An 11861-nucleotide genomic window follows, 5' to 3' on the forward strand; every position below is an offset into this window, starting at 1 on the left:
TTTGCTTTAAGTGTGTTATGTAATCGAATCATTTTTATTTTTTTCTGATTGACCCCATTCAAAAGATTCTACTGAGTCACCATGCCCATCAGCATAGTTTAAAAAAATTTAAATGAACAGTGACACTTAGTGGGTAGAAATATTCATTACAGTGCTCTTCCGTAAGAATCTCCATTAACACATCCCATGGTAATAAAGTAAATGATACCAAAATTTAGTCTTCTTGGCAAAGTAATATACAGTATTTGAAGTGTGTTGGTTTTGCAGCAGCTGTCATTCCATACCAATCCATTTAGTTAAAAAGCAAACAGGTGGCTCACACATATTGTTTTTACTACATAAATTTTTAAATTTTCTTCAGTCCTACTGAAATAAATGGGGCATTTTTGCTGTTGATTTCAGTTCACTAGAAAAAATATGTAACAATACAGTGGAGATATTATTAATAGCACTGTTCAAAGTGCATGCTTTCTTCTAAGCAGATATCTATTGACCCAAAATATGAACAAGTAACTTAAGTGAGACAAGTAAGTTACATGGATACTTGTGAGACTGAAACAAAACAAAACAAACAAACACAAGATTAATGTGTCCCAATTAATTCCTTTGTTTTGGTACTATGGCACACAAGAAGTAAAATTATAGTGAGGTTTTAAAAATATTTACTCCAAGATCAAGACTTTATTCCTTTAAGGTTTAGGTTAAGTTTTCCCTCAATTTTATTGCACTTATGGATTTATTTTTGACCTTTAAGGAAGGCTTTGTGACAATAATTAGTGTTTTATTTTCTTGCAAAATGAAAGCATGTTATCTTGCCTGAGGTTAATGTGTTTTTAAGTCTCTTGAGGTGCTGCGGTTGGAAAGCAATTTAGAATATTGTCTTCTGCCAGCTTCACATACAACAGAGAGATGAGTGGAAAATATCTGATTAGTGGGTGTGACAAAATATGGCAAGACAGTTATGGAAATATATGTAAACTATGTTGTTTGACTTACATATTGGTTTTTTAAGAACCAAAACAAATACAATGAAAAACATTTTTTGACAACTTAATTAGAGAGTGGGAAGAGGGAGGTGATACAGTAGTCTTTTACAAGTATAGCAAGAAGTCTCTTTCAAGTAAATTCAGTGTATAAAAAGCTGACTTTACAAAACAGATAAGTTATAGTGTGATTATGAGGTTTATGGAAGCATTTACCAAAGCCTGGAAGTAAATCATGTATCACTTAAAACATCCAAAACAATTATTTCGTTTAGATACTTTCCCAGTTGAGTGAATTGAGTGATTTAATAGCTTAATTCTCCACTCACTGGTTATATTGAACTCCCACTCCTTCTCTCAAATCCCCTCCCATTTGAATCCTCTCTCCCTGGTCAGTAGGGGATGATGCCTGTGGTCTCAGGGTAATATGGATTTACTCTTAACCCTTCATGTACTGTACTGTAATTGCCTGTAATTGTCATCTCTCACAGATGACAACCTCCTTGAGGATTGAGGTTGTATATCTTATTCACTGTCTAGCATGTAGCACAGTGCCCAGCATATAATAGGTGCTCATTAAATATTTAATGTTTGTAGGTGCCAGAATGTTGGAATAGAGCTAGAGGGATGAGGCAAAGTGAAATTCCTTTCTAGTCCCTTGGGGACAAGGAGAACCCCCCCTGCTTGTGGGGCTTTAATTTGTGTTTGCCCAGGTGGGATAGTTTCCAGACTATTGATGTTTCTTTTTGCTCTTGATAGCTTTGAGATATGGGTTTGGAGATCAGCCATCCTGTATAAAAGAAGCCATTCTGTTCCAGAGACCGTGTAGTTGGAATTCAGCTTCAGATGGTATTCAGCTTCAGATGGTATACAGATTCTTTAAATAATAATGCATTTAGACAGACTATGAAGGAGACTGTCTCTTCGTTTGAGAATGTGTAAAACAAAGTAATATGATAAAAAGAATGTTGTAGACCCTTTTGTAGTTCATGAGCATGATGATTGGGTGTTCACACACATGTGTGAAATGTGCCACCCTCAACCTTATTATGAGGTCAGCACATTACCCATCTGACATGAAAGAAAGGAAAAACCAAGAAAAGTATTGTATTGAGAAATAGGACATTAGGCCTTGTTTCACTACTAACTCTGTATTTAACCTTGACCTTATCATGTATCTCTTTTGTCTTAAATTTCTTTTAATTATTTTTGTTTTATTTATTTATTTTAAATTTTTTATAAATTTAGAGGGTACAACTGCAGATTTCTTACATGCATATATTGCATAGTGGTGAAGTCTGGGCTTTTAGTGTCCCCATCACCCAGACAGTGAACATTCTACCCAATAGGTAATTTTTCAGCCCTCATCCCTGCTCCCGGCCTCCCACCTTTTGTAGTCTGCAATGTCTGTTATTTTACTCTGTATGTCCATGTGTCCCCATTGTTTCGCTCTCACTTATAAGTGAGAACATGTGGTATTTAACTTTCTGTTTTTGAGTTATTTCAGTTAGGATTCTGGCCTCTAGTTGCATCCATGTTGCCAAAAAAGACATGATTTCCTTCTTTTTTATGGCTGAGTAGTGTTCATATATATATATATATATATATATATATATACACACACACACACACACACACACATACACCACATTTTCTTTATTCAGTCCTCCATTGATAGACACTTAGGATGATTCTGTATCTTTGCGATTGTGAATCATTCTGAAAGAAGTGCAGGTATCTTTTTGATATAATGAGTTCTTTCCATTGGATATATACCCAGTAATGGGATTGCTGGATTGAATTGTGATTCCATTTTCAGTTCTTTGAGAATTCTTCATACTGTTTCCCATAAAGGTTTTACTACCTTATAGTCCCACCAACAGTGTATAAGCATTCCCTTTTTTTTTTCTACAACCTTGCCAACATCTGTTTTGGGTTTTTTTTTTTTTTTGACTTTTTTTAATAGTCATTCTGACTGGTATGAGATGGTAATTCATTGTGGTTTTTATTTGCATTTCTCTGATTAGTGATTTTAAGCACTTTTTCATATGTCTGTTGGCAACTTGTATGTCTTCTTTTGAAAAATATTTGTTCATGTCCTTTGCTCACTTTTTAGTAAAGTTATTTGGTTTTTTTCTTGTTGAGCTGTTTGAGTTTCTCATAGATTCTGGATATTAGCCCTTGTTGGATGCATAGTTTGCAAATATGTTTTCCAATTCTGTAGGTTTTGTGTTTATTCTGTTGATAGTTTCTTTTGCTGTGCAGAAGATTTTTGGTTTAATTAAGTCTCATTTGTCAATTTTTGTTTTTTACTTTGGATTTTGAAGACTTGATAACAAATTCTTTGAATAGGCCAATGTCCAGAAAAGTTTTTCCTAGGTTTTCCTGTAGGATTTTTATACTTACAGGTGATACATTTAGTTCCTTAATTTATCTTGAATTAATTTTTGTATATGGTAAGAAGTATGAGTCCAGTTTTATTCTTCTGCATATGACTATCCAATTTTCCCAGCATCATATATTGAAAAGGGTTTCCTTTCCTGAGTATGTGTATATATATATATATATTACTTTGTAGAAGATAAGTTGGTTGTAGGCTCATTGATTTATTTCTGGGTTCTCTATTCTGTTTCATTGACCTATGTGTCTATTTTTAGACCAGTACCATGCTGTTTTTGTTATTATGGCTGTGTAGTATTATTTGAAGTCAGGTACTATGATTTTTCCAGCTTTGTTCTTTTTGCTTAGGATTTGGCTATTTGGGCACTTTTTTGGTTTCATGTGAATTTTAGGATTGTTTTTTCTAATTCTGTGAAAAATAATGTTGGTAATTTGATAGAGATTTCATTGAATCTATAAATAACCTTGGGCGATGATATGGTTTGGCTCTGTGCCCCCACCCAAATTTCATCTTGGAGGTCTCATAATTCCCACATGTTGTGGGAGGGACCAGGTGGGAGATGATTGAATCATGGGGGTGGGTCTTTCCCATGCTGTTCTTGCGATGGTGAATGGGTCTCATGAAATCTGATGGTTTTAAAAACAGGAGTTTCTCTGCACAAGTTCTCTTTTTTGCCTGCTGCCCTCCACGTAAAATGTGACTTGCTCCTCCTTGCCTTCCGCCATAATTGTGAGGCCTCCTCAGCCATGTGGAACTGTAAGTCCAATTAACCTCTTTCTTTTGTAAATTGCCGAGTCTTGGGTATGTTTTTATCAGCAGCGTGAAAATGGACTAATATAGTAAATTGGTACTGGCAGTGGAGTGCTGCTGAAAAGATACCTGAAAATGTGGAAATGGCTTTGCAGCTGGGTAATAGGCAGAGGTTAGAACAGATTGGAGGGCTCAAAAGGAGGCAGAAAAATGTGGGAAAGTTTGGAACTTCCTAAGACAGGTTGAATGGCTTTGACAAAAATTCTGATAGTGATATGAACAATAAGGTCCAGGCTGAGGTAGTCTCAGATGGAGATGAGGAACTTGTTGGGAACTGGAGCAAAGGTAACTCTTGTTATGTTTTAGGAAACAGACTGGTGGCATTTTGTCCCTGTCCTAGAGATTTGTGGAACTTGGAACTTGAGAGAGATGGTTTAGAGTATCTGGCAGAAGAAATTTCTAAGCAGCAAAGCATTCAAAGGGTGACTTGGGTGCTGTTAAAGGCATTCAGTTTTATAAAGGAAGCAGAGCATAGAAGTTTGGAAAATTTGCAACCTGACAATGAGATAGAAAAGAAAATCCCATTTCTGAGGAGGAATCCAAGCCAGTTGCAGAAATTTGTATAAGTAACAAGGAACTGAATGTTAATTCCCAAGACAATGGGGAAAATGTCTCCAGGGCATGTCAGATGTCTTCATGGCAGCCCTTCCCATCAAAGGCCTGGAGGCCTAGGAGGAAAATGTGGTTTCTTGGGCCAAGCCCAGGGTCCCTGCACTGTGTGCAGCCTAGGGACTTGGTGCCCTATATCCTAGCTACTCCAGCCATGGCTGAAAGGGACAAATATAGAGCTCAGGCTGTAGCTTCAGAGGGTGCAAGCCTCAAGCCTTGGCAGCTTCCACATGATGTTAAGCCTGTGAATGCACAGAAGTCAAGAATTGGGGTTTGGGAACTTCCACCTAGATTTCAGAAAATGTATGGAAACTCCTGGATGCCCAGGCAGAAGTTTGCTCCTGGGGTGGGGTCCTCATGAAGAAACTCTGGTAGGGCAGTGCAGAAGGAAAACGTGGGGTGGGAGCCCCCATACAGAGTCCCTCCTGGGGCACTGCCTAGGGAGCCGTGAGAAGAGGGCCACTGTCCTCCAGACCCCAGAATCGTAGATCCACTGACAGCTTGCGCCATGTACCTGGAAAAGCCACAGACACTCAACGCCATCCCGTGAAGGCAACTGGGAGAGAGGCTGTACCCTGCAAAGCCACAGGGGTGAAACTGCCCAAGACTAGGGGAACCTACCTCTTGCATCAGCATGACCTGGATGTGAGGCACGGAATCAAGGGAGATCACTTTGGAGCTTTAAGATTTGACTGCCCCACTGGATTTCAAACTTGCATGGGCCCTGTAGCCCCTTAGTTTTGGCCAATTTCTCCCATTTGGAATGGCTGTATTTACCCAATGTGTGTACCCGTATTGTATCTAGGAAGTAACTAGCTTGCTTTACATTTTACAGACTCATAGGTGGACAGGATTTGTCTTGTCTAATGAGACTTTGGACTGTGGACTTTTGAGTTAATGCTGAAATGAGTTGAGACTTGGGGGACTGTTGGGAAGGCATGATTGGTTTTGAAATATGAAGATATGAGATTTGGGAAGGGGCAGGGATGGAATAGTATGGTTTGGCTCTGTGTCCCCACCCAAGTCTCATCTTGGAGATTCCATAATCCCCACATGTTGTGGGAGGGACCAGGTGGGAGTTGATTAAATCATGGGGTGGGTTTTTCCTGTGCTGTTCTCATGATAGTGAATGGTCTTATGAGACCTGATGGTTTTAAAAACGGGAGTTTCTCTGCACAGGCTCTCTCTTTTTTTTTTGCCTGCTGCCATCCACATAAGATGTGACTTGCTCCTCCTTGCCTTCTGCCATGATTGTGAGGCCTCCCCAGCCATGTGGAACGGTAAGTCTAATAAACCTCTTTCTTTTGTAAATTGCCCAGTTTCGGGTATGTCTTTATCAGCAGTGTGAAAAAAGACTAATACAGGCAGTATGTCATTTTAACAATATTGATTTTTCCAAATCATGACCAAGGGTTGGAAGCATGGTATGTTTTTCTGTTTGTGTCATCTATGACTTTTTATAACAGTAATTTGTTGTTTCCTTATAGGGATTTTTTACCTCCTTGATTAAATATATGCCTGGTATTTTATTTTATTTTTTATAGCATTGTAAGTGGAATTGCCTTCTTGATTTGGTCCTCAGCTAGATTATTATTGCTGTATAGAAACAGTACTGATTTTTGTATGTTAATTTTTTATCCTGAAACTACTGAATTCATTTATCAAATCTAAGAGTTTTTTGGTGGACTCTGTAGGGTTTTCTGGATATAAGATAATATCATTAGCAAACAGGGACAATTTAACTTCCTCTTTTCTAATTTGGATGCCCTTTATTTTTTTGCTCTTGCTTGATTGTGCTGGTGAGGACTTCCAGTGCTATGTTAAATAAAAGTAGTGAAAGTAGGCATACTTGTCTCATTCCAGTTCTTAGAGGGAATGCTTTCAAACTTTTCCTGTTAAGTATGTTGTTGGCTATAGGTTTGTCATATGTTGCCTTTATTATGTTGAAGTATGTTTTGTTCTATGCCTAGTTTGTTGAGGATTTTTATGATGAAAGGGCATTGAATTTTATCAATTGCTTTTTCCACTTTAATAGAGATGATCATATGGTTGTTGTTCTTAATTCTGTTTATGTAATGTATCACATTTATTGATTTGGGAATGTTGAACCATCTTTGCATTCCTGGTATAAATCACTCTTGATCATGGTGTATTATCTTTTTGATATGCCGTTGTATTCAACTTGCTTGTATTTTGTTGAAGATTTTTGAATCTATATTAATCAGGGATATGGGTCTGTACTTTTCTTTTTTTGTTGTGTCCTTGTCTGCTTTTGGTATCAGGGTGATCCTGGCCTTATGGAATGAGTGAGGGAGAATTCCCTTCTCTTCAATTTTTTGGCATAGTTTTGGGAGAATTCATCTTTGTTTTTCTTTGTATGTTTGGTAGAATTTGGCTGCAAATTTATCTGGTCCTGGGATTTCTTTTGGCAGTTTTTTAAAATGACTTTGAAATGCCACTTAATGTTTTTCTGGCCTGTAAGGTTTCTTCAGAAAAGTCCACTGTTAGTCTGATGAGAGTTGTTTTTTTTTTTTTTTTAATAGATGACTAGGTGCTCTTCTCTAGTCAGTTTAAAAATTCTTTGTTTCACTTTGACTTTAGACATTCTTAATATAATATGCTATGGGAAGTCCTTTTTGTAATGTATTTGCCTAGGGATGGCTGGACCTTCTCTATTTGGATGTCAACTTTCTTGATAGACTTGGAAATTTTTCACTGATTATTTTCTAAAGTAGGTTTTCTAAATTTGATCTCTCTGCTCCCTTGGGAATAATGATAATACATAAGTTTGGTCACTTTGTGTAGTCCCAGATGTCTCAAAGCCTTTTTTAATTCTTTTATTTAGTTTTTTCCTTATTTTTGTCTGACTGGAATATTTCAAAAGACCTGTTTTCAAATTTACAAGAAAAAAACAAACAACCCCATTAAAAAGTGGGCAAAGGACATGAACAGACACTTCTCAAGAGATGACATTCATGTGGCCAACAAATATATTTTAAAAAGCTCAACATCACTGATGATTAGAGAAATGCAAATCAAACCCACAATGAGATACCATCTCATGCCAGTCAGAATGGTGATTATTAAAAAGTCAAGAAAGCGCAGATGCTGGTGAGGCTGTGGAGAAAAAGGAACACTTTTTCACTGTTGGTGGGAATGTAAGTTATTGTGGAAGATCTAGAAGCAGAAATAACATTTGATCCAGCAATCCCAATACTGGATATATACCCAAAGGAATATAAATCATTCTATTATAAAGATAAATGCATGCATGTGCTCATTGCAGCACTATTCACAATGCAAATATATGGAATCAACCCACATGCTCATCAATAATAGACTAAACAAAGAAAATGTGGCACATATACACCATGGAATACTATGCAGCCATAAAAAAGAAATGAGATCATGTCCTCTGCAGGGATATGGCTGGAAGCCATTATCCTCAGCAAACTAATACAGGAACAGAAAATCAAATACCACATGTTCTCACTTATAAGTGGGAGCTGAATGATAACAACACATGGACACATGGGGAGGAACAACACACACTGAGGCCTCTCAGAGGGTAAGGGGTGGGAGGAGAGAGCATCAGGAAGAATAGCTAATGGATGCTGGGCTTAATACCTAGGTTATAGGTTGATCTGTGCAGCAAACCACCATGGCACACATTTACCTATGTAACAGACTGCACATCCTGCATTGGTACCCTGGAACGTAAAATAAAAATTGAAGGAAAGAAAAAGATTTGTTTTCAAGTTCTGAGATTTTTTTCTTCTGCTTGATCTAGTCTATTATTGAAGCTTTCAAATGTATTTTGTATTTTCTTCAATGAATTTTTTACATCCACAATATCTGCATTTTTTTAAAAGATATCTATTTCCTTGGTAAATTTCTCATCCATATTCTGAACTTTTTTGTACTGTTTTTCATATTTCTCTTGCACCTCATTGAGCTTTGTTAAAATCAATATTTTGGTTTATTTATCTGGCATTTTGAGGCATTCTTTTTTATTTGGATCTGCTGCCATGCAATTGTTGTGTGGTGTCAAAAATCCCTACTTTTTCATGTTTCCTACGTCCTTCCATTGATATCTGTGCATCTGGTATAGCAGTCACCTTTTCATTTTTTTGTTCACATTAATAAAAAATTTACTTTCTATATAATTGTTACAGATTTCAATAATTTTATTCTTTTCACTCCCTCTTCTTGCTCTAAATGCCATTTTAAATTATTAACTATGTATTGAAGTCAGCTCCATTGTATGCCCCTTGTAGTTCCAAAGATTTCTTTTTCTTTCTTTTTTTTTCACTTATACTTTAAGTTCTAGGGTACATGTGCACAATGTGCAGGTTTGTTACATATGTACACATATGCCATGCTGGTGTGCTGCACCCATTAACTCGTCATTTACTTTAGGTATATCTCCTAATGTTATCCCTCCCCCTCCCCCCACCCCACGGCAGGCCCCGGTGTTTGAAGTGCCCCTTCCTGTGTCCAAGTGTTCTCATTGTTCAGTTCCCACCTATGAGTGAGAATGTGCGGTGTTTGGTTTTCTCTCCTTGTGATAGGTTGCTGAGAATGATGGTTTCCAGCTTCATCCATGTCCCTACAAAGGACATGACCTCATCATTTTTTATGGCTGCATAGTATTCCATGGTGTATATGTGCCACATTTTCTTAATCCAGTCTATCATTGTTGGACATTTGGGTTGGTTCCAAGTCCTTGCTATTGTGAATAGTGTCACGATAAACATACATGTGCATGTGTCTTTATAGCAGCATGATTTATAATCCTTTGGGTATATACCCAGTAATGGGATGGCTGGGTCAAATGGTATTTCTAGTTTTAGATCCTTGAGGAATCGCCACACTGATTTCCACAATGGTTGAACTAGTTTACAGTCCCACCAACAGTGTAAAAGTGTTCCTATTTCTCTACATCCTCTCCAGCACCTGTTGTTTCCTGACTTTTTAATGATTGCCATTCTAACTGATGTGAGATGGTATCTCACTGTGGTTTTGATTTTCATTTCTCTGATGGCCAGTGATGATGAGCATTTTTTCATGTGTCTGTTGGCTGCATAAATGTCTTCTTTTGAGAAGTGTCTGTTTATATCCTTCACCCACTTTTTGATGGGGTTGTTTGTTTTTTTCTTGTAAGTTTGTTTGAGTTCTTTGTAGATTGTGGATATTAGCCCTTTGTCAGATGGGTAGATTGCAAAAATTTTCTCCCATTCTGTAGGTTGCCTGTTCACTCTCATGATAGTTTCTTTTGCTGTGCAGAAGCTCTTTAGTTTAATTAGATCCCATTTGTCAATATTGGCTTTTGTTGCCATTGCTTTTGGTGTTTTAGACATGAAGTCTTTGCCCATGCCTATGTCCTGAATGGTATTGCCTAGGTTTTCTTCTAGGGTTTTTATGGTTTTAGGTCTAACATTTAAGTCTTTAATCCATCTTGAATTAATTTTTGTATAAGGAGTAAGGAAGGGATCCAGTTTCAGCTTTCTACATATGGCTAGCCAGTTTTCCCAACACCATTTATTAAATAGGGAATCCTTTCCCCATTTCTTGTTTTTGTCATGTTTGTCAAAGATCAGATGGTTGTAGATGTGTGGTATTAAAATCTAGAAGAAACGAATAAATTCCTGGACACATACACCCTCCCAAGACTAAACCAGGAAGAAGTTGAATCCCTGAATAGACCAATAACAGGCTCTGAAATTGAGGCAATAATTAATAGCCTACCAACCAAAAAAAGTCCAGGACCAGATGGATTTACACCCAAATTCTACCAGAGGTACAAGGAGGAGCTGGTACCATTCCTTCTGAAACTATTCCAATCAATACAAACAGAGGGAATCATCCCTAACTCATTTTGTGAGACCAACATCATCCTGATACCAAAGCCTGGCAGAGACACAACAAAAAAAGAGAATTTTAGACCAATATCCTTGATGAGCACTGATGCAAAAATCCTTAATAAAATACTGGAAAACCGAATCCAGCAGCACATCAAAAAGCTTATCCACCATGATCAAGTGGGCTTCATCCCTGTGATGCAAGGCTTGTTCAACATATGCAAATCAATAAATGTAATCCAGCAGATAAACAGAACCAAAGAAAAAAACCACATGATTATTTCAATAGATGCAGAAAAGGCCTTTGACAAAATCCAACAACCCTTCATGCTAAAAACTCTCAATAAACTAGGTATTGATGGAACGTATCTCAAAATAATAAGAGCTATTTATGACAAACCCACAGCCAATATCATACTGAATGGGCAAAATTGGAAGCATTCCCTTTGAAAACTGGCACAAGACTGGGATGCCCTCTCTCACCACTTGTATTTAACATAGTGTTGGAATTTCTGGCCAGGGAAATCAGGCAGGAGAAAGAAATAAAGTGTATTCAATTAGGAAAAGAGGAAGTCAGATTGTCCGTTTGCAGATGACATGATTGTATATTTAGAAAACCCCATCGTCTTAGCCCCAAATCTCCTTAAGCTGAGGAGCAACTTCAGCAAATCTTAGGATACAAAATTGATGTGCAAAAATCACAAGCATTCTTATACACCAGTAACAGAAAAACAGAGAGCCAAATCATGAGTGAACTCCCATTCACAATTGCTTCAAAGGGAATAAAATACCTAGGAATCCAACGTACAAGGGATGCGAAGGACCTCTTCAAGGAGAACTACAAACCACTGCTCAATGAAATAAAAGAGGACACAAACAAATGGAAGAACATTCCATGCTCATGGATAGGAAGAATCAATATCGTGAAAATGGCCATACTGCCCAAGGTAATTTATAGATTCTGTGCTGTCCCCATCAAGCTACCATTGACTTTCTTCACAGAATTGGAAAAAACTACTTTAAAGTTCATATGGAACCAAAAAAGAGCCCGCATTGCCAAGACAATCCTAAGCCAAAAGAACAAAGCTGGAGGCATCACGCTACCTGACTTCAAACTATACTACAAGTCTGCAGTAACCAAAACAGCATGATACTGGTACCACAACAGAGATATAGACCAATGGAACAGAACAGAGC

The 11861-nt window shown here is 37.5% G+C and overlaps 1 non-coding gene across 1 annotated transcript; it reads left to right on the forward strand.

Annotated features, from left to right (window-relative positions):
- Positions 1-1957: 1957 nt before the first annotated feature.
- On the forward strand, positions 1958-2060 carry LOC124906148 (small nucleolar RNA U13). Its single transcript, XR_007088737.1, has one exon. It is a non-coding gene; the product is annotated as a small nucleolar RNA U13 (small nucleolar RNA).

This window comes from Homo sapiens, chromosome 2 (genome assembly GCF_000001405.40).
Source record: "Homo sapiens chromosome 2, GRCh38.p14 Primary Assembly".
Taxonomy (NCBI): Eukaryota; Metazoa; Chordata; class Mammalia; order Primates; family Hominidae; genus Homo; species Homo sapiens.